At 47.4% G+C, this 22,537-nt stretch overlaps 2 protein-coding genes and 1 pseudogene across 2 annotated transcripts in view, besides 5 other annotated features; 2 read left to right on the top strand and 1 right to left on the bottom strand.

The window, feature by feature from the left end:
* The window catches only part of HEATR4 (HEAT repeat containing 4), a 155,331-nt gene that overhangs the window by 29,271 nt on the left and 103,523 nt on the right, over positions 1 to 22,537 (top strand). The window lies entirely within an intron of this gene.
* ACOT4 (acyl-CoA thioesterase 4) lies at positions 8,778 to 12,671 on the bottom strand. Its single transcript, NM_152331.4, has 3 exons — positions 12,128 to 12,671; positions 10,640 to 10,842; positions 8,778 to 9,495 (listed from the first exon to the last, which is right to left on the bottom strand). The coding sequence occupies exons 1-3, from the start codon at positions 12,582 to 12,584 to the stop codon at positions 8,890 to 8,892; spliced, it is 1,266 nt and encodes a 421-aa protein (NP_689544.3). The 5' UTR covers positions 12,585 to 12,671; the 3' UTR covers positions 8,778 to 8,889.
* Positions 11,938 to 12,437: an enhancer, noted in NCBI's record as "H3K27ac hESC enhancer chr14:74058811-74059310 (GRCh37/hg19 assembly coordinates)". NCBI's record gives its function as "activates a minimal SCP1, AML or CMV promoter by ChIP-STARR-seq in naive H9 embryonic stem cells {active_cell/tissue: H9 hESC(naive)}" and the evidence as "EXISTENCE:reporter gene assay evidence [ECO:0000049][PMID:30033119]".
* Positions 12,057 to 12,126: a silencer, noted in NCBI's record as "silent region_5912". NCBI's record gives its function as "represses an Ori minimal core promoter by ATAC-STARR-seq in GM12878 lymphoblastoid cells {active_cell/tissue: GM12878}" and the evidence as "EXISTENCE:reporter gene assay evidence [ECO:0000049][PMID:35858748]".
* Positions 15,647 to 15,719, top strand: TRK-TTT14-1 (tRNA-Lys (TTT) 14-1; annotated as a pseudogene).
* Positions 21,673 to 21,772: an enhancer, noted in NCBI's record as "active region_8703". NCBI's record gives its function as "activates an Ori minimal core promoter by ATAC-STARR-seq in GM12878 lymphoblastoid cells {active_cell/tissue: GM12878}" and the evidence as "EXISTENCE:reporter gene assay evidence [ECO:0000049][PMID:35858748]".
* Positions 21,793 to 21,882: an enhancer, noted in NCBI's record as "active region_8702". NCBI's record gives its function as "activates an Ori minimal core promoter by ATAC-STARR-seq in GM12878 lymphoblastoid cells {active_cell/tissue: GM12878}" and the evidence as "EXISTENCE:reporter gene assay evidence [ECO:0000049][PMID:35858748]".
* Positions 22,253 to 22,302: an enhancer, noted in NCBI's record as "active region_8701". NCBI's record gives its function as "activates an Ori minimal core promoter by ATAC-STARR-seq in GM12878 lymphoblastoid cells {active_cell/tissue: GM12878}" and the evidence as "EXISTENCE:reporter gene assay evidence [ECO:0000049][PMID:35858748]".

Below are 22,537 nucleotides of genomic sequence, written 5' to 3'. Positions count from 1 at the left end.
ATTGCACTCCAGCCTGGGCAACAGAGCAAGACTCCAGCTCAGAAAACAAAACAAAACAAAACAAAAAAACAAGAAACTGGGCCAGGTGCAGTGGCTCATGCCTGTAATCCCAGCATTTTCAGAGGCCGAGGTGGGTGGATGACTTGAGGTCAGGAGTTTGAGACCAGCCTGGCCAACATGGTGAAGCCCTATCTCTACTAAAATTACAAAAATTAGCCAGGCATGGTGGCAGGCGCCTGTAGTCCCAGCTACTTGGGAGGCTGAGGCAGGAGAATTGCTTGAACCGAGAAAGTGGAGGTGGCAGTGAGCTGAGATTGAGCCACTGCAGTCCAGCCTGGGTTATAGAGCGAGACTCCATCTCAAAAAAAAAAAAAAAAAAGAAATTAGCAAATGAAAAATCTTACAACTACTGGATTTTCTTCTGTCTGTTTGTGTAGTTGTATATATGTGTTATGTGTGTGATGTTTGCATAAAAGGACTCTGATTAATTGGCTTAAAGAAGAATAAGCACCTGCCGGCCATGGTGGCTCACACCTGTAATCCCAGCACTTTGGGAGGCCAAGGCAGGCACATCATGAGGTCAAGAGATCTGGACCATCCTGGCCAAAATGGTGAAACCCTGTCTCTACTAAAAATACAAAAATTAGCTGGGTGTGGTGCTGCGCACCTGTAGTCCCAGTTACTCAGGAGACTGAGGCAGAAGAATCGCTTGAACCTGGGAGGAAGAGGCTGCAGTGAGCCAAGATTGCACCACTGCACTCCAACCTGGCAACAGAGCAAGACTCCGTCTAAAAAAAAAAAAGAAAAGAAAAGAAAAATAAGCACTTCGATCAAATGTTTTGAAAGAAAAAAACTATAATGCCTTTTAGTTCATGTGACTTTAGTAGTCTTTGGGAAATAAAAGCAGTTTTAAAGATTATTAGTAAAATATGGGAGGCTGAGGTGGGTGGATCATGAGGTCAGGAGATCGAGACCATCCTGGCTAACATGGTGAAACCCTGTCTATACTAAAAATACAAAAATTAGCAGGGCATGGTAGCATGCGCCTGTGGTCCCAGCTACTCGGGAGGCTGAGGCTGGAGAATCACTTGAACCCAGAAGGCAGAGGTTACAGTGAGCCGAGAATGTGCCACTGCATTCCAGCCTGGCGACAGAGCAAGACTCCATCTCAAAAAAAACAAAAACAAAAAACAAAAAAAACAGATTATTGGTAAAATGCAAATGTCTTCAAAATGTAAACGTGTTCTAAATTACGTTCAAATATTAGGTTTGCCAAATTATTTAAGGTCATAAACTGCTTCTTTGGCTTTTGAAAATAGTTCAACTTGCCTGCTTTACAGCTTGGTAAGGCCTGGGGACATATGGAATTAACCACGCCCCCAGCTGTGCTGGAAAGAGTCAGACCATATTTGTACCTAGTACATAATTAAAATAAGTTACCAGGTTTTACATTAAAATTAAAAATTGCTAAGAGTCATCATTGTAACATACAATTAAGACTACTAAAAATAGTTTTACATGCAAGGTGTGTGAGGAGAGTAAAATGTGTTTTTGGTAAAAGATTGTAAGAAGGCATGGGAATGTACATTTTTGTAAACCTTTAACATATTTAACAGGCTTCCCAAAATCAAATTTCAGCCTCAGAATTGTCTTTTCTCATCTCTAAATTTGAGATGCTACAGAGGGCCCCTGAAGCATTTAAAAGAGAGGTAAACAGGATTATTTGACGTGGTTAGTTACATGGGAAGCATTGTCAAAATAAAAAAAAGATTTACTCTTCTTCAAGTTATATTTTAGTGAATGATATTAATATATGTTCCAAAATTGTATGGAATTTCTACGTTCTAATACATCTGAGTATATGGTATCAATCATAATTGTAGCCTGCCAGGATCCCTGGGGGACTGAACAAAGCGGGGAGAACGCGGGAATAAAGAGACAAAAGAATATGTTTGGAAGAAGGAGTCAGGAGGCAACTTGCCTCTAGTGGACAAGGGCCCTGAGCTTTACACAGCCCTCTGTATTTATTAGGCAAAAAAGATAGTGAGAAGCGGGGTGGAAGAAGGGACCAGCTGCTTGGTCTACAGTAGTCTTGTAAGACTGCATTCTCTAGATGTCCCAGTAAATAACCTCAAGGAGCTCGGCACCAGGAAGCGATTGCCCTCAGCAAATCTTCTGGGGCAGGCACAGAAGCGAGTTTGCCCACATCCTGCATTCATGATAAATCATATAGCCTCCAGTGGAATGCTAGGTTGGTCATGATCCCTTTGACCTTTTTGGCTCCCAACACATAATTATGTTGTTAGGCCAGGTGCAGTGGCTCATGCCTGTAATCCCAGCACTTTGGGAGGCCGAGGCGGGCGGATCACAAGGTCAGGAGTTCAAGACCAACCTGGCCAACATAGTGAAACCTCGTCTCTACTGAAAATACGAAAATTAGCCAGGCACGGTGGCCCGTGCCTGTAGTCCCAGCTACTTAGGAGGCTGAGGCAGGAGAATCGCTTGAACTCAGGAGGTGGAGGTTGTGGTGAGCCGAGATTACACCACTGCACTCCAGCCTGGGCAACAGATTTAGACTCCGTCTCAAAAAAATGAAATAAGATTAAAAAAAAAAAAGCATAATTATGTTGTTATTGTAGACCACAGAAATAACCAGCTCTCCTTGTCAGAAGTGTTTTAACTATTACTATTTAAAATCATTTGAATTCCATGGTCTAAGATAAATTATCTGTAAAAACCCATTGGTTATCAGTGCTATGCACCTAAATTAGAGAAATAACTGGTATTCAAGAGGACATAAGTCCAATGTTAAGCATGGACTCATGGAGAACCAGGATGGCTGCCTTGTCTTTCCTGAGTCCCTAAAGGTTTTGTTATTAAAGGTTATGGTTTCTATGACTCATCATGGAAAAGACAAAATGATCCAATTTAAATACATATTGGTTTGCTGACTTATAAATTGCTAAAGTAGTTCTTTTTTGAGACAGAGTCTCACTCTGTTGCCCAGGCTGGAATGCAGTGGCGCGATCTCAGCTCACTGCAATCTCCGCCTCCCAGGTTCCAGCAATTCTCCTGTTTTAGCCTCCCAAGTTGTGGGGATTACAGGCGTGCGCCACCATGCCCAGCTAATTTTTGTATTTTTAGTAGAGATAGGGTTTCACCACGTTGGCCAAGCTGGTCTCGAACTCCTGACCTCAAGTGATCTGTCCGCCTCAGCCTCCCAAAGTGCTGGGATTACAGGCATGAGCCACCACACTGACCTGCTAAAGTAGTTTATAACCAATGTTTGGTTTGTCAAATCCATATTTTTGGGAAGACAGTCAAAGCTTCAGGTACATTTACCTGATGGGTCATTTAAACACTTACAAAAATATTTCATTTAATTGTCATTTTCTTTTTTTTGGAGACAGAGTCTCACTCTGTCATCCAGGCTGGAGTGCAGTGGTACAATCTCGGCTTACTGCAATTTCCATCTCCTGGGTTCAAGCAATTCTCCTGCCTCAGCCTCCTGAGTAGCTGGGATTACAGGCACGCACCACCACACCTGGCTAATTTTTGTATTTTTAGTAGAGATGGGGTTTCGCCATGTTGGCCGGGCTGGTCTCGAACTCCTGACCTCTCAGGTGATCCGCCCGCCTTGGCCTCTCAAAGTGCTGGGACTACAGGCGTGAGCCAGCACGCCTGGCCGAGAAGTTCTTAAACAGATATCTAGAGGTGTATTTTGTCTAGTGGAGTGAAACCCACTGAGATTTTTAGAAAACCCCACAAAGTTTTTAAGAAAATTGTTCTGGCTGGCTGGGCGTGGTGGCTCATGCCTGTAATCCCAGCATTTTAGGAGGCCTAGGCAGGTGGATCACCTGAGGTCAGGAGTTTGAGACCAGATTGGCCGACATGGTGAAACCCTGTCTCTACTAAACATAACAAATTAGCCGGGTGTGGTGGTGGGTGCCTGTAATCCCAGCTACTTGGGAGGCTGAGGCAGGAGAATTGCTTGAACCCAAGAGGCAGAAGTTGTAGTGAGCTGAGATCACGCCATTGCACTCCAGCCTGGGAAACAAGAGCAAAACTCCGTCTTGGAAAAAAAAAGAAAATTGTTCTGGCTGAAGAATAATTCCAGTTCCACTATGAGCTGGAACTTAAAAGGCAGAGAATACAAAATTAAAAGAGAACTTTGAACTCCCCTTTTCCATCTAGGAGGCAGGTTAAATTTAATTGCTAACTCATTTTCTTATGGAAAATAAAGGTTTCAACTCAGGAGGTAGAACCAAAAGCTACAGAGAACAACTCACAGAGAGTAAATTGAACACTAATGAAGGAATTGGCAGCGTGTTCTCCGGTGTGTTTCAGAGTTGCTACAGGCTAGTGACAGCTGTGTGCCACATTTTCCCCATTTTTGAACAGGACTGTCTATAGGAGTTATCTTATACTTCTCCCACCATTGTATTATGGACATGCATCTGTGAGGATAGCTAACTTGTTTGTTTCAAAGCCGTTCAGATTGAGAAGAAGGATATTCAAGGAGCTATACCCAAGGGACTGTTCTGAGCCTCATCTATACCTGGATCTGATATAGATGATGAAATATTGGACCTTCAGCCTGAGTGCGATGCTATAATGAAATGAGATTTTTGGGGGAGAGGGTATAGAAGAGGAATGGGTGTTATTTTACATGTGGAGGAATGTATGGCCAGAAGGCAGACTGTATTTGCCAAAGATGGTTACAATTATTTCCCATTCCACATGCTCTTCTCCAGAACCTTGCCACTCTCCTTTCAAGAGGCAGACTATGCTCTCCTTGAACTTTGGTTAGCCTTTGACTGCCTTGTTCAATAGAGCATGGGAGAGTGATAGTATGTATAATAGCTTCCAAGACAAAGCTGAACAAAGGTCATGCAGAATTGCTTGCTAGGCTTGCTAGGCTCTCTTGGAGACTCTACTTTTATGGCAGGGAGGTTGGTGCTGGCTGTCAATTGGGAACTCAGGAAGGGATATGATTTAGGGGGTTCTCAATTTCTCTCCATCTGGGCCTTCTTGCTAATTACTTGGGCTGAGTTTCAACCCCTCAGTCAAATTACCGCAGCCCGTGTCACTTCGAACAGTGGTGATCCATTCCTACCCAGTCCTGTCCCATTTGCAGACTCTTGAGAAAAATACATGGTTAGTGTTTTAAGCTGCTGTTTTAGGGTGGTTTGCTACACAACAATAGATAACTGAAACACACCTGAAAACATAGTCACATAAAACAAAAACAATCTATTTTGCTCACAAATCTGCAGTTTGGACAGGGCTTGAGAGGGACATCACTGCTCAGTGGAGGTTATGTGAAGTCTCCACCGAGATTTAAATGGCTGGGGGCTAGGATGATCTGGAGGTGTTTTTCACTCACATGTCTGGCACTTGGGCTGAGATAACTGAGACGCTGACCACAGTTGGGACTGTCACAGGAGTGCCTGTGGTTGGCTTATACATGTATTTTAAGCTTCATCACAGCATCACAGCATCACATCCTCAAGGTAGTCAAACTTCTTTTTGTTTTTTTTTTGAGACAGTCTCGCTGTGTTGCCCAGGCTGGAGTGCAGTGGTGTGATCTTGACTCATTGCAACCTCTGCCTCTCAGGTTTGGGAGATTCTCCTGCCTCAGCCTCCTGAGTAGCTGAGATTACAGGCACCCAACACCACACCTGGCTACTTTTTTGTATTTTTAGTAGAGATGGGGTTTCACCATGTTGGTTAGGCTGGTCTCGAACTCCCGACCTCAGGTGATCCGCCTGCTTTGGCCTCTCGAAGTGCTGGGATTACAGGTGTAAGCCACAATGCCTGGCCTAATTTTTGTATTTTTAGTAGAGATGGGGTTTCACCATGTTGATCAGGCTGGTCTCAAACTCTAGACCTCAGGTGATCTGCCTGCCTCAGCCTCTCAAAGTGCTGGGATTACAGGCATGAGCCACAGCGCCTGTCCCAAACTTCTTACATAGTGGCTCAAGCTCCAAAGGCAGGTGTTCCTGGCAAACACGGTAGAATCCTCACGGCGTTCTATGACCTCGCCTGCAAAGTCACTGCCGCTCTACTCTAGTGACTGAAACAGTCACAAGTTCATCCAGATTTGAAGGAAGGGGACATAGGTCTCCCATCTCTCTCTTTTTTTTTTTTTTTTGAGACGGAGTCTTGCTCTGTCGCCCAGGCTGGAGTGCAGTGGCATGATCTCGGCTCACTGCAAGTTCTGCCTCCCGGGTTCACACCATTCTCCTGCCTCGGCCTCCCAAGTAGCTGGGACTACAGGCGCCTGCCACCACACCCGGCTATGTTTTTTTTTTTTTTTTTTTTTTGTATTTTTAGTAGAGACGGGGTTTCACCATGTTAACCAGGATGGTCTTGATCTCCTGACCTCATGATCCGCCCACCTCGGCCTCCCAAAGTGCTGGGATTACAGGCATGAGCCACTGCACCCGGCAGGTCTCCCATCTTTTGATGAGGGAAATGCCAATGAATTTACAGCTATGTTTTAAAATTACCATAAACAAGCCTGGTGCAGTGGCTCACACCTGTAATCCCAGTACTTTGGGAGGCTGAGGCAGGTGGATCACTTGAGGTCAGGAGTTAAAGACCAGCCTGGCCAATATGGCGAAACCCCATCTCTACAAAAGAAATAAAAGGCCAGGCGCGGTGGCTAATGCCTGTAATCCCAGCACTTTGGGAAGCCGAGGCAGATGGATCACAAGGTCAGGGATTTGAGACCAGCCTGGCCAATATGGTAAAACCCTGTCTCTACTAAAAATACAAAAATTAGCCAGGCATGGTGGCAGGTACCTGTAGTCCCAGCTACTCGAGAGGCTGAGGCAGAAGAATTGCTTGAACCTGGGAGGCAGAGGTTGTGGTGAGCCGAGATTGTGCTATTGCACTCCAGCCTGGGCTACAGAGCAAGACTCCTTCTCAAAAAAAAAAAAAAAAAAAAGAAAAGAAAAAAGAAAAAAAAAGAAAAAGAAATACAAAAATTAGCTGGGCGTGCTGGCACATGCCTATAGTCTGAGCTACTTGGGAGGCTGAGGCAGGAGGATCACTTGAACCCGGGAGACAGAGGTTGCAGTGAGCTGAGATCGTGCCACTGCACCCCAGCCTGGCCAACACAGCAAGACTCTGTCTCAAATAAATAAATAAATAATGGCCGGGCATGGTGGCTCACGCCTGTAATCCCAGCACTTTGGGAGGCCGAGGCGGGTGGATCACGAGGTCAGGAGATCGAGACCATCCTGGCTAACATGGCGAAACCCTGTCTCTACTAAAAATACAAAAAATTAGCCAGGCGTGGTGGCGGGCACCTGTAGTCCCAGCTACTTGGGAGGCTGAGGCAGGGAGAATGGCATGAACCTGGGAGGCGGAGCTTGCAGTGAGCTGAGATTGCGCCATTGCACTCCAGCCTGGGTGACAGAGCCAGACTCTATCTCAAAAAAATAAATAAATAAATAAATAAATAAAATAAAATTACCATAAACAGTTTTACTGTGATAAGCGTAGTTTTTCTTTGTATTTATTCTGCCTGGCATTTACAATTCTTCTTGAATATGTGGCTTGATGTCTTTGACATCAGTTTTGGAAATTTCTCAGCCATTATCTTTTCAAATACGCTTATATTAATAAATGCTATGTAAGCTGGGCGCGGTGGCTCATGCCTGTAATCCCAGCAATTTGGGAGACCGAGGCAGGTGGATCACTTGACATCAGGAGTTCAAGACCAGCCTGGCCAACATAGTGAAACCCTGTCTCTACTAAAAATACAAAAATTAGCCGGGCATGGTGGCACATGCCTGTAATCCCAGCTACTCGGGAGGCTGAGGCAGGAGAATCGCTTGAACCCAGGAGGCAGAGGTTGCAGTGAGCTGAGATCATGCCACTGCACTCCAGCCTGGGCAACAGAGTGACTCTGTCTCAAAAAATAATAATAATAATAATAATAAATGCTATGTAGTGTCAATGTCAAGGAGACAAAGGAGTGATTCCTCTAGGGTTACCACAGTACGATTTTCCAAGTTCTATTCTTTTTTTTTCTTTTGAAACGGGGTCTCGCTGTGTTACCTGGGCTGGAGTGCAGTGGTGCAATCACGGCTCACTGCACCAATCTTGACCTCCCGGGCTCAAGCAATCGTCCCATCTGAGTCTCGAGTAGCTGGGACTACAGGTGTGTACCATGTTTGGCTAATTTTTGTAGGGATTGGGTTTTGCCATGTTGCCTAAGCTGGTCATGAAATCCTGAGCTCAAGCAATATGCCCCCCTTGACTTCCCAAAGTACTGGGATTACAGGTGTGAGCCACTGTACTCGGCCCCAGGGTCTGCTCTTAGAGAGGAAGTGAGAGGGAAAATAGATCGTAGTAATTCACCCTTGGAAGAGAGTACAGACTTAACTATTCTAGAGACAGGTCTCATCTCCTCCTGTCAAAAGAGTCTTCTCTCACGTTTATAATGAAAAGGTCAGCTGCCTTTCCTCATATTAACACCCCTCTGTATGTTTCTGGCCAAAGAAAATTCTACCCTGCTACTGATGGTTGAACAGCAAACATTAAGTGACCATTCTTTCATAGTGATGGAAAAAGTCACCAGCTTTAAAGCTCACCTGTGACTCAAAACATTAACTAAAAAAATCTAGAAGGAAACACAAATGTTAACTGGTGGGAATGTTTTTCACTTATATGTGTCATATGCCTCTTAATCTTCTACAACAAGCAAGTTACATTAGTAAAACTAACGACAAAGCTTATTCAACAAAGTTACGTAAAATACACCATTAATGACAAAGACATGGCTTTAATGTTATCCAGGAGACATCTGATTCACATAGGGTTACTGAACACTAGAATCTGATCTTGAATCTCTCATGTCAACAACAGACAAATGCATTACAATTTAGGGACAGCTGTTTTCTGGGTACCTCCCAGGTGTTTGCAGAAGAAGGCTAGAATTTGCTTCCAGGCATCTTCCTGGGCCTTAGAATGAGCCCTGGGCTCCCCACCCCATATAACATGTTTGTTCAGTAATCTGTGAAGGGAAGCTGGGCACAGGGGGAAGTAAGGAGGCTCGATGTAATGCCCAGTCCCAGGGTAACAGATGATCTGGGGTTTTTCCTTTCCATGGGCCTGTAACCGTTCAGAGACTGTTTGGGCATACAACTCACTTCTCCAGTTATGGTCATCCTGACCAACAATGAGCAGGATGGGCCCCTGGGCCTTCTCTATTGGAATCATGCTGGGGTTCTTGTACCCTCCTACGAGAGCATTCCTTATATCCACAATGTCCACGAGGCCTGAGAAAGCTACCTTGATTCTCCTCAGGTCATAGCCCAATGGTGGAATGCTACTGTGCTTATAGTTGATGGCTGTGTTCCCACTGATCCCAGATCCATTGATGGAAACTGTGGCTGAGACATTCTTCAAGAATGAGGCCATTGAGAGACAAATATCAGCTCCTAGAGAAATGCCCAAAAGCCCAATGCCTGGGCCTTTTACCTGGAAGAAAAGAAGAGAGGAGAGTTGAGTCAATAACTTATCCAGATTGGGTGCGGTGGCTCATGCCTGTAATCCCAACACTCTGCGAGGCGGAGGCGGGCGGATCACTTGAGGTCAGGAGTTTGAGACCAGCCTGGCCAACATGGCAGAACCCTGTCTCTATTAAAAATACAAAAAAAAATTAGCCGAGTGTGGTGGCGCACGCCTCTAATCCCAGTTACCTGGGAGGCTGAGGCAGGAGAATTGCTTGAGCCCAGGAGGCGGAGGTTGCAGTGAGCCGAGATTGCGCCACTGCGCTCCAGCTTGGGTGACAAAGCGAGACTCCGTCTCAAAAGATAAATAAATAAATAAATAAATAAATAAATAAATAAATAACTTATCCAATGCAAAAACATTTTTCTAAAATGCAAACAGAGATGCTGCTAGCTTTAATCTGGGAATCATCCACAAGAAAATCAACCTCAGCTGACAGGGGAGTTTCTTCCCATGTGCAGAATATCTGGCTGAACACATGGCAAACACATCTTAAAATCACTGAAAAACTTGGAAACTGGTTATAAGCATTTCAGAGAATTATCCACTAGAGAATGCTGAGCCGCTGAGCCGCTGAGCCACAGATCCCATCAAGTTCAGGGCCACATTCAGGTAGGTCTGACTGAAGTCTTCATGTGGCAATGCATCCAATAGTGTGGAACCAGGTTGTTTCAAGATGTGAATCATTCATCAGATCATTTGCCATATGTATTGGCAAATGATTACAAAGCAAGACTTCAGAGTAAGTAAGTTTGTTCTTGGCTTCTGAAAGGGGTGGACAAGTTCTGACCAAAATCTGAGAACATACTCTGACACCAGGAAATTAAAATTTAAAAACAAGCATGCAAAGACAGTAGATTAGAAATTCAATTTGCAATATACAGATAATATTTAATATTACTAAATAAAATCTCATGTGGATTTTACAATTAATTCTATATCACAAATTCATCTGACAGAAAAAGTGGAAATAGCACCTTAAGCCAAGGAAGTCTCCAGAAGACATCTTTGTGAAAGAGGAACAGAGCAGCATTTCTGCACGTGGTAAAGGTTACACTCTCTATGGAAATATTTCTAGAGAGACTGATTAAATAAAGGACATGAGGAGAACCTGGGGATGTTGAAGCATGTAGCATACGGCTTCTTCGAAGTACTCCAGGGATATGTTGTCCATGTTATTGGGGAGATCTTCAAAGTTATAATAAGCTAGAGCCAACGTGGCAAAGCCATGGCCAGCAAGGAGGCTGGCTCGATATTCCAAGAGGCCCCCTCCAATACCAAAGATGTCAATGATCCCTGGGAAGGGTCCAGGTCCTAGAGAACAAAATATTATAAATGTAAGCCATTATACAATTTAAAGAATTTGCTTTCCTGGCTGGACACTGTGGTTCATGCTTGTAATCTCAGCACTTTAGGAGGCCAAGGCAGGAGGATTGCTTGAGGCCAGGAGTTCAAGACCAGCCTGGACAATGTAGTGAGACCCCATCTCTACAATCTTTTTTTTTTTTTAATTAGTCAGTGTGGTGGTGTATGCCTGTAGTCCTAGCTACTTGGGAGGCAATGGAGGGAGGATCACTTGAGCCCCAGAGGTCAAGGCTGCAGTGAGGTGTGACCACACCACTGCACTCCAGCGTGGGCAACAGAGACAGACACTGTCTCAAAAAAAAAAAAAAAAAAAAGAAAGAAAGAAAAGAAAAAAGATTGAAACAAAACTTTATGTTCTGTTGCATCAGCCCTCTGGTTTTTAGTGTACTGATATTTCAGATGTCTATGTAGAAAGGGAGGAAAGAAAAAGAAATACCCAGAGATGGTTTTAGGTGAGAAAGGCAGTGGAGTCTGAAGTGTGACCTGTGATAAAGCAGCACATGAAGAAGTGGAGAAGAGACAGTGTGCCTAGAACACTAGAGAAGACGACATGGTAATAGCTTCATTCACTGTCATCATTCTGCCTTAGACAAGTCAGGCTGATGCCTGTAGAAATCTGTAGGGTAGTGATTAATAGCAAAGTGGATAATGTACCTGACGACCTGAACCTGTTTTTTCATCTGCAGAATAACAATACCAACTTCATTGGGATATTATAGAGACTAACTGATAGAATGCAAGTAAAAACCGTAGTACACAGCCTAACAAAAAATCCTTTTTTTTCTTTTTTCTTTTTTTGAGACGGAGTCTCGCTCTGTCACCCAGGCTGGAGTGCAGTGGTGCGATCTCGGCTCACTGCAACCTCCATCTCCCAGGTTCAAGCGATTCTCGTGCCTCAGCCTCCCGAGTGGCTGGGACTACAGGCGTGTGCCACCAGGCTGGACTAATTTTTGTATTTTCGGTAGAGTCAGCGTTTCACCATGCTGGCCAGTCTGGTCTCAAACTCCTGATCTCAAGTGATCCGCCCATCTCGGCCTCCCAAAGTGCTGGGATTACAGGCGTTAGTCACCACGCCCGGTACCAAACCCTCTATTTTGGTAGAGTGGCCACTGACATAGTCAATGTTAGCTTCTCTGATCTTGCTCCAAAACCAAACCAGTGCTAAATCAGCACTGGAAACAAACGGAGACTCAGGCCACTGACGCTCACACCACCCGCCAGCAGCCTGGCTCACCTGGCGGCAGGAAGAGCGTGGCGCGCACCCGGCCCGCTCGCACCGACTGGCGCCGCACCCCTGGCGGGAGGAAGTGGCGCTCGTGCTGCGCCTGGCACAGCAGCCGTCCAGGCTCGGGGTCGTGGCCGTCCAGCACCTCCAACTCCACGACAAAAGGAATCTGTACGTCCCGCTTCAGGAAGCGCCAAAAAGGCTTCTCGGGTTCCAGGGCCCAGAGCAGCCCCATGGGCTCGAGTCCCGCGAAGCTGCCGCCCAGCGCGGGTGCGCGCTCCAGGTCCAGCTCGCCGCGGGCGTCGGCGCAGTAGCGCGCGTGGGCCCGGAAGAGCGCGCCCTTCTCGTCGCGCAGGGACGCGCGCAGCGTAACCCGCTGCTCCGGGGCCAGGCCGCGCACGGCAATGCGCACCGGCTCGTTCCAGCAGCAGCGGCCTGGGGGCTCCAGGATCAGCGTTGCTGACATCTTGGAGCCGGAGCGGGGAATTCAAAGGTCGAGGCCCGAGACCCGTCCAAGATCGTGGCAAGCGCGCCGAATGTCCGGACGGCGTCCGGCGTCCCCTGGTGCCGGAAGCTGCCGGTGGCTGAGCAGTCCCAGAAAGCCCCTGGGACTTCAGACCGGTTAACCCGGCGCTCCGGACTCGTCTGAGGCAAAAGTAGCCAGGCTCCTCTTCAGGGTCGTCTCCTTGGGCCCCGGGGCGCGCAAGGTGTGGCGCCCAACCCACCCCGTAGAAAGCCTCTCTGCCTCACACCACCCTCGGTTGTTGGAATGAAAGTTGTTGGATGATCAATTTGTGGTGAAACCAAAAGCCAATGAGATCAAGCCAAATTCCAGCCTTTCATGGGCTCCATGGAAGGTTTTGTTTTTAACTTTTTTTTTTTTTGAAACAGAGTCTCCTCTGTCGCCCAGGCTGGAGTGCAGTGGCGCTTCGGCTCACTGCAATCTCCGCCTCCTGGGTTCAAGCGATTCTCCTGCCTCAGCCTCCCGAGTACCTGGGATTACAGGCGCGCGCCACCATGCCGCTAATTTTTGTATTTTTAGTAAAGAGGGAGTTACACCATGTTGGCCAGGCTGGTCTTGAACTCCTGACTTCAAGTGATCTTCCCGCCTTGGCCTCCCAAAGTGCTAGGGATTACAGGCGTGAGCCGCTGCGCCCGGCCTGCTTTTTTGTTGTATTTGAGACAGGGTCTCTCTCTGTCATCCAGGCTGCAAGGCGGTGGCTCGATCACAGGTCACTGCAGCCTCCACCTCCCAGGCTCAAGTGATCCTCCTGTCTCAGCCTTCGGAGTAGCTGTGACTACAGACAGCGCACCACCATGCCACGTTAATTTTTAAATGTTTATTTTTAGAGAGGAGGTGTCACCCTGTTTCCCAGGCTGGTCTCGAACTCCTGAGCACAAACTATCCTCCTGCCTCTGTAGTCCCAAAGTGCTAGTGATACGTGACAGCATGCTGGCTGCCCTCGCTCGCTGTCGGCGCCTCCTCGGCCTTGGCGCCCACTCTGGCCGCGCTTGAGGAGCCCTTCAGCCCGCCGCTGCACTGTGGGAGCCCCTTTCTGGGCTGGCCAAGGCCGGAGTCGGCTCCCTCAGCTTACTGGGAGGTGTGGAGGGAGAGGCGCGGGCGGGAACCGGGGCTGCCCGCGGGGCTTGCGGGCCAGCGCGAGTCCCGGGTGGGCGTGGGCTCGGCGGCCCCGCACTTGGAGCGGCCGGCCGGCCCGCAAGCCCCGGGCAGTGAGGGGCTTAGCACCTGGGGCAGCAGCTGCTGTGCTCGATTTCTCAGCGGGCCTTAGCTGCCTCCCCGCGGCGCAGGGCTCGGGACCTGCAGCCCGCCATGCCTGAGCCCCCGCCCCCGCCGTGAGCTTCTGCGCGGTCCGAGCCTCCTCAACGAGCTCCGCTCCCTGCTCCACTAACGCCCAGTCCCATCGACCGCCCAAGGGCTGAGAAGTGCGGGCGCACGGCGCGGGACTGGCAGGCAGCTCCACCTGCGAACCCCGTGCGGCATCCACTGGGTGAAGCCAGCTGGACTCCTGAGTCTGGTGGGGACTTGGAGAATCTTTATGTCTAGCTAAGGGATTGTAAACACACCAATCAGCACCCTGTGTCTAGCTCAGGGTTTGTGAATACACCAATCGGCACTCTGTATCTAGCTAATCTAGTGGGGAGGTGGAGAACTTTTGTGTCTAGCTCAGGGATTGTAAACGAACCAATCAGCACCCTGTCAAAACGGACCAATCGGCTCTCTGTAAAATGGGCCAATCAGCAGGATGTGGGTGGGGCCAGATAAGGGAATAAAAGCAGGCTGCCAGAGCTAGCAGTGGCAACTTGTTGGGGTTCTTTTCTACGTTGCGGGAAGGTTTGTTCTATTTAGTTTTGTAATAAAGGTAGCTCAGTTTTTGGGCCCGCACTGCTGTTGTGAGCTGTAACACTCATTGCGAAGGTCCGCAGCTTCACTTCTGAAGCCTACCAGACCACGAACTCACCAGGAGGAACGAACAACTCCAGACATGCCGCCTTAAGAGCTGTAACACTCACCGCAAAGGTTTGCAGCTTCACTTCTGAGCCAGCAAGACCACGAACCCACCAGAAGGAACAAACTCTGAGCACATGGGAACATCAGAAGGTACAATCTCCAGACACGCTGCCTTTAAGAACTGTAACATCTCCGCGAGGGTCTGTGGCTTCGTTGTTGAAGTCAGTGAGACCAAGACCAGTCTGGAAACACCAGGATTATAGGTGGGAGCTACCTGCCGTGCCTGGCCATACATGTCAGTTTACTTAAAAAAAGCTTTTTGATGAAATATAAGGTAGGCTAGGCACAGGGGCACACACTTGTAATCTCAGTGCTGTGGGAGGCCGAGTTGGGCGGATCGCTTGAGGTTGGGAGATCTAGACGAGCCTGTCCAACATGGTGAAACCCGCCTCCACTAACAATACAAAAATTAGTGGGGCATGGTGATGTGCACCTGTAGTCTCAGCTACCTGGGAGGCTGAGGCAGGAGAATTGCTTGAACCTGGCAGGCAGAGGTTGCAGTAAGCTGAGATCATACCACTGCACTACAGCATCGGTGACAGAGCGAAACTTTCAAAAAAAGGAAAGGGAAAAAGAAAAGAAAAAAGGGAAGGAAGAGAGAAAGCAAAAGTATTGGAGATAGTAAAAAGATCAGTAGTTGCCAGGGATTGTGGGGAGGGAGGGATGAATAGTTGGAACAATTTTTAGGGCAGTGAAGCTGTTCTGTATGATACTGTAATGGTGGATACATGTCATTATACATTTGTCCAAAACTGTAGATGTAGAACAAACGAACCCTAAAGCAAACTAGAGATTTGGGGTGATAATGGTATGTCAGTGAAGGTTAATCAATTGTAACAAATGTACCATTCTGGTGGGGGATGTTGATAGTGGAGATAAGGGAACTATGCAAGTTTTGGGGGGCACAGGGAGTATATGGGTAATCACTACCTTCTGCTCAATTTTGCTATGAACCTGAAACTGCTTTAAAATATAAAACGTAAAAAAAAAAGTAAACAACCCAGATAGCTCAGTTGATAGAGCATCAGACTTTTAATCTGAGGGTCCAGGGTTCATGTCCCTGTTCCTTAATTTTTTTTTAACTTTTTAATTAAATTAAACACAAAAAAGAAAAGTAAATGTATTGGATGGAAAATCAAGAGTGGGTCTGGCTTAACATTTGATTGATCCAATGGCTAAATGATGACACCAGGAACCTCTTCTTTCTGTCTTCTCTGCCATTAATAACATCATAAGGTGGCTGTCAGTGTAATTGGGGCCTCATCCTTTTTTGCTTATGTTGAGTAGGAGGGAGAAGATTCAGATTTCTAAGAAAGGTCCAAGTCACATATTTTCTCCTGTCATCGAATGTTGAAGTTGGCTTAAACCAAATGGAGATTGCCACCATTGCCCCTGGGATCAGGGTGGAGTTAGCATTCCCTAGAACCCATAGCTGCAGGGGGAGAGGCAGTGAAATCAGGAATTCTCCTAAAAGAAGTGTAATACATGCTGAGCAGGTACCTGACAATGAGTGTAACGGAGGAACTTCACATGACGGTACTGATGGCTTTTTGAAATCTAGGGCAGGAAAGGACGCTTTTAAAATTTAGAGAGATAGGCCGGGCTCGGTGGCTCATGCCTGTAATCCCAGCACCTTGGGAGGCTGAAGCGGGCGGATCACTTGAGGTCAGGAGTTTGAGAATAGCCTGGCCAAGATGGTGAAACCCTGTCTGTACTAAGATACAAAAATTAGCTGGCGTGGTGGTACGGCCCTGTAATCCCAGATACTGGAGAGGCTGAGGCAGGAGAATCGCTTGAACCCAGGAGGCAGAGGTTGCAGTGAGCCGAGATTGTGCCATTGCACTCTAGCCTGGGCAACAGGAACGAAACTCCGTCTAAAAAAAAAAAAAAATGAGAGAAATAAAATGTGGGTCTAATAGGAGTTATGATTATTAATGGGGCAAATTAAGGAATTTGGAAGTTGGAGACTGACTTTAAGAAGACTGTGTTGTATTTAGATTTGAACACAATTTGACATAAAATATGTGTTGGAAAACAAAATAATTAAGCGCATTAGCAGTATTTTGCTGCTAGATAATTCTCTCCCAGTTTATCTTCAATCCTCAAAATCAAGTGGGAATGGGAGGTCCCGTGGAAACAAGTCAGGGGAGATAAATTAAATCCACTTGTGTTCCTAGCAGAAATTTTACTGATAATCAGAATAGTAATAAGTATTGAAATAAAGCAAAAACAAGTGGATGGGCCAGGTGCAGTGGCTCATTCCTGTAATCCTAGCACTTTGGGAGGCCAAGGCGGGCAGATCACTTGAGGCCAGGAGTTTGAGACCAGCTTGGCCAATGTGGCAAAACCCCGTCTTTACTAAAAATGCAAAAATTAGCTGGGTGTGGTGGCCCACGTCTGTAGTCCCAGCAATGTCCCGGGAGACTAAGGCAAGAGGATTGCTTGAACCCAGGAGGCGGACGTGGCAGTGAACCAAGATGGCATCACTACACTCCAGCTAGGGTGACAGAGCAAGACTCTGTCTCAAAAAAAAAAAAAGTGGATGTTGCCAAAAGGGGAGCGGGGGGAGCAAGAAGTCTGTGTCAAAATATATCCTATTTTTGATAAATCTCCAAACAAGTATGCAAATACTCCTGTCAGTAGGCTCAATCAACGGTCTATCTTGACACCCCGAAGCTAATGCAGAGAAAAAATGCCCAAGAATGACTGGCAGCTGTTCGTGGGGCTGAAGAAATCATCTTTTTTTTGTTTTTGTTTTTTTTTACACCAGGCAGGGAATCATTTAATTTTTCTATATTAGGGAGGAAATTGAGTAAACTCAATATTTTGTGGTAATATCCCCATAAAACTAAGAGAAAAATACAAACAAATAATTGAACACTTGTGGACTTCAGTATGGAACTAAAACAGAAAATGTTTTGCCAGCACTTTGGGAGACCCAGGTGGGAAGACTGCTTGAGACCAGAAGTTTGAAACCAACCTGGGCAACAGAGCAAGACTCCATCTCTACAAAAAATTAGCCAGGTGTGGTAGTGCATACCTGCAGTCTCAGCTACTCAGGGAGGCTGGGATGGGAAGATGGCTTGAGCCCAGAAATTTGAGGCTGCAGTTGAGCTATGATCACACCAATGCACTCCAGCTCTGGGCATCAGAGCAAGACTGTCCCTAAAACAATTTTTTTTTTTTTTTTTTTCAGACAGAGTCACTGTGTCTCCCAGGCTGCAGTGCAGTGGTGCATCTTGGGTCACTGCAACCTCCACCTCCTGGGTTCAAGCAATTCTCGTGTCTCAGCCTCCCAAGTAGCTGGAACTACAGGTGCATGCCACCACGCCAGGCTAATTTTTTGTATTTTTAGTAGAGGCGGGGTTTTACCATGTTAGCCAGGCTGGTCTCCAACTCCCGACCTCAGGTGATCCTCCTGTGTTGGCCTCCCAAAGTGCTGGGATTACAGGCATGAACCACTGAGCCTGGCCTCTAAAAAAAAATTTTTTTTTTCTTTTTGAGACGGAGTTTTGCTCTTGTTGCCCAGGCTGGAATGCAATGGCGTGATCTCGGCTCACGGCAAACTCTGCCTCCGGGGTTCAAGTGATTCTCCTGCCTCAGCCTTCCTGAGTAGCTGGGATTACAGGCATGCGCCACGATGCCCAGCTAATTTTGTATGTTTAGTAGTGACAGGGTTTCTTCATGTTGGTCAGGCTGGTCTTGAACTCCCGACCTCAGGTGATCCACTCGCCTCGGCCTCCCAAAGTGCTGGGATTACAGGCCTGAGCCACTGTGCCCAGCCTAAAAAATTTTTAAGTAAAAATAAAAAATAAATGTTTTCCATAAGAAAAGAAATCATACTGGTTTGGCAGTTTACGTTTTTTTTTTTTTTGGTTTTTTTTTTTGCGACAGAGTCTCACTCTGTCGCCCAGACTGGAGTGCAGTTGTGCCACCTTGGCTCACTGCAGCCTCCACCTCCCAGGTTCAAGCAGTTCTCCTTCCTGCCTCAGCCTCCCAAGTAGCCGAGATTGCGCTGCTGCACTCCAGCCTAGGGGACAGAGCAAGACTCTTATCTCAAAAAAAAAAAAAAAAAGAAAAAGACAAAACAGTGGTCTCCTATACTTTTTTTTTTCATTCCCTTCCCAGTGTATCCTCCACAGCAATGATTTTTATTTAACAAACCTAATACCCAATGTGATAGTACTTTTTTATTTTAATTTTTTTGGGGTTCTAGTCCTGCTCAGTTGCCCAGGCTGGAATGCAGTGGTGCGATCCCGGCTCATTGGACCTCCACCTCCTGGGTTCCAAGTGACTCTCATGCCTCAGCCTCCCCCGTAGCTGGGATTACAGTCGAGTGCTACCAAGCCCGGCTAATTATTTTTTGGATTTTTAGTAGAGACGGGGTCTCACCATGTTGCCCAGGCTGGTCTTGAACTCCTTAGCCCAGGTAATCCGCCCACCTCAGCCTCCCAAAGTGCTGGGATTACAGGTGTGAGCCACCATGCCCAGCCTCAATGCGATAGTATTAAAAAGTGGGGACTTGGCACCTGGGGGAGAAGAAGGGGAGGCACAGGACCCCAGAAAGTGTCCTGAGCAGGAGGCTTGTGTCCTAGGGGGTGGAGCACCAGCCCTGGTGCTGACCTGTGACCTTGCCCTGACCTAGGCCTGTCCTGCTGGGCCAGGCAGGGGCTATGGCAGATGAGCGAGACAAGGTGGCCAGGTCGTGAGACAGGAACAGTGGGAGTCAGGAATGCTGGATAGTGTGTGCATGGGTGTAAGAAACCCGGGATAAGGCCCATGGGGGATGGAAGGGAGCTGGTGGGGGAGCTGCCCACACAGACAGGCCTGGGTGGCACCCAGGTCAGGGGCCTCAGACTCATGGCATAAGACAGGCATGAGGTGTTGGGGGTCTGGGTGAGGGGGTTGACAAACTGCCAGGCTGGAGCAGCGGGTTATCTGGAGGGCCCAAGGTGTTACGGGATCAGGAAGTGGGGGACACTGGAGTGTTTATGGGGTGCTAGAATAGCTGTGGGATGCACTGGTCTAAATTGGGGTTGACATTGGTTGGGACATGGGGAGGTTGATTTGTGTCGGCACAGGGGATTGTGGGAATGGGGGCTGGTAGGGTCTCAAAAAATGGGGCCCAAGCTCAGAAGGAGAAGGCAAATGAGGATTAGGGAGGGGATGCTGTAGTTTAGAATGAAGCCTCTGCCTCCTCTGAGCTTGGAGCCTGGGAAAGGGGCCAGGGTGGGTTTATGATGGTACAGGCAGTGCTGGGGGCTCCCAACAGGCCCCGGGCAAGGAAGAGGCTGCAGAATGCCCACTCTGCTGTTACAGACCAATTACACTGAGACAGCAGGGTTTGCAGCACAGAAAGAGCTTCATGATCACAGGGCACCTAGCAAGGAGATGGGAGGAGACCCTCAAATCCATCTCCTTGAAGAATTCTGGGCTGGGGTTGTTACCAGTGGAAGGTGTCTGAGTTACTGGTGGCGAATCTGTACAGGTCTGCAGCAACTTCAGTTCTTGCCTCCTCAGAAGAAAGAATTTGACTGAGGGGCATAAGGCAGAAAAAGAGATGGAGGTGAGTTTCAGAGCAGAGTGGAAGTTTATTTAAAAAGTCTTTAGGACATGAAAGAAAGGAAAGTTCACTTGGAAGAGACCTGACCGGGCACCTGAAGGTCAAGAGCCCCGTTTAACTGTGATCCTAGGACTTTATAGGCTCGCCTCTTTCTCATGATTCTTCTCTGAGGGTGAGCTGCCCTCATGCTCTGTGCTCTCTTTACCTTTCGGAAGTGAGCATGCACAGTGTGTGTAGGAAGTTGTATACATGCCCATCTGAGGCTTTCTTCCCTTTTCCAGTGGAGTGTCCTGGAAAGGTCATACATAGCCATTTTGTCTGTTTTTTTTTTTAGACGGAGATTTACTCTTGTTGCCCAGGCTGGAGTGCAATGGCGTGGTCTCAGCTCACTGCAACCTCGGCCTCCCGGGGTTCGAGCGATTCTCCTGCCTCAGCCTCCTGAGTAGCTGGGACTACAGGTGCGCACCACCACACCCGGCTAATTTTTGTATTTTTAGTAGAGACGGGGTTTCACCATGTTGGTCAGGCTGGTCTCGAACTCCTGACCTCAGGTGACCCATCCACCTCAGCCTCCCAAAGTGCTGGGATTACAGGCGTGAGCCACCGCGCCTGGCCTGCCATTTTGTCTCTTAATGCACGTGCCCAGGAAGTTGCTTCTCCCTGGCACCTGCATTCAATTAACACTTTAATGTTAACAGCTGTGGATCATCAGGAGATTGTCTCACTCTGGCGCTCTGGCACCAACCGCCAATTTTCAGTTTAGAGAGGCAACGTGGTAACTGTCGAACCATCACCTGACATTCCTAGTGAGTGAGGGAGAAAAGCCCTCTCCTTCCCTGCTCAGCTCTATGTAACTACCTATAACAGGGTTTTTAAAGGGATCATGGAGGGTAAAGGGCTAGAAAATTGGGCTTATTGATTGGTTGGGGTAAAGGGGATTAAATTTTCAGGAGGTGGAAACTGCATTCTTTTTTTTTTTTTTTTGAGACGGAGTCTCACTCTGTCACCTAGGCTGGAGTGCAATGGCACGATCTCAGCTCACTGTAACCTCTGCCTCCCGGGTTCAAGTGATTCTCCTGCCTCAGCCTCTCAACCTCCAAGTAGGTGGGACTACAGGCACATGCCACCACACTCGGCTAATTTTTGTATTTTTAGTACAGACGGTGTTTCACTATGTTGGCCAGGCTGGTCTTGAACTCCTGACCTCGTGATCCGCCCGCCTCGGCCTCCCAAAGTGCTGGGATTATAGGTGTGAGCCACCGCGCGCAGCCAAAACTGCATTCTTTAGTGAGTGAGTTCCTGTGGGGTCCTTCAGAGAAGCTGGAATCAGCAGTTTCATTGGTGGCTGATATGACAGCTCGGTTTTTGTCATCTGGTTTAAAAGAATTTAAATGAGACACACAGCGAAAGAAGTGCAGCATAGAGTAATTTATTGCAAAGGAAAAAGAATATTTTGGAAGTTACATGCAGAATGGACTGTATACCGTGAGAGAGAGGGTTCAAGGCAGGCTGCTCATAAGGGTGAGACAGCAGAGACTGGCAGTAGGGAGACTCCCTTTATGGGAGTCTTACATGATTATTCATAAGGTGGTGGGAAGAGGTGTTGCTAGTAAGCATGTTCCGGGTGGTCTTCTGGGTGCACATGCACAGTAGCTGTACATGCTTGTTCATATGTCACATGTCTCATTAGCATATTACATCTCCATGTAGGGCTGTCTTCTACTATTATAATGAGCAAAATGTCAGTTTGAGGACAGGTAAAATCAAAATGCTCATGCTGTCTATGGGGGAAATTCCCTAATGAAGACAGCTTTGCTTGAATGAGCGCAATGACAATGCGAATGCTGAGGCTCACTGTGTTGACTGTATGGGTGCCATGGTCGCTGCATCCTGAGAACACGGTCACTCCCTTAAGTACCTATCCTGCCTCAGTTTCATTGCTACGCAGGACCTGAAAGAATATCTCAAATGGAAAAGTTAACGTTTTATAATGTTCCAGTTGTTATCTATGAGCAGTGAAGGGGAACTATGACCTTGTGACAGGGTCTATGTGACTCTGGAGCAACAGGCAGCAAACAACTCTGAGCAAGTGGGTCAGAGAGCAGCTGACCTCATGACCAATGCTGTGTGTGCTGCAAGCTGGGCTGATTTCCATTTCGCCCCTCCCTTCTCCCCTGATTAATTTTATAAAGTTGATAGGGAAGGTTTCAGTGGGATCTTGGCCACTCTCATAAAGGAGGCTGTTCTGAGGGGCTGGGAAGGAGGCCTCATGAGAGGAGGAAGGGCTCCCAGGGAAGGGCTTGGGCCAGGGTCCCTGATGTTGGGG

The sequence above is a fragment of the Homo sapiens genome, chromosome 14 (assembly GCF_000001405.40).
Source record: "Homo sapiens chromosome 14, GRCh38.p14 Primary Assembly".
NCBI lineage: Eukaryota > Metazoa > Chordata > Mammalia > Primates > Hominidae > Homo > Homo sapiens.
This window is presented reverse-complemented; position numbering and strand designations above follow the sequence as displayed.

Excerpts from the sequence above, each read along its gene's own strand:
- ACOT4 (NM_152331.4), bottom strand. The coding sequence starts at position 12,584 with ATGTCAGCAACGCTGATCCTGGAGCCCCCAGGCCGCTGCTGCTGGAAC. Across the intron at positions 10,843-12,127 it reads CACGCTCTTCCTGCCGCCAG|GACCTGGACCCTTCCCAGGG; the intron begins GTGAGCCAGGCT and ends TTTGTTCTCTAG. Across the intron at positions 9,496-10,639 it reads ACATGCTTCAACATCCCCAG|GTAAAAGGCCCAGGCATTGG; the intron begins GTTCTCCTCATG and ends CTTTTCTTCCAG.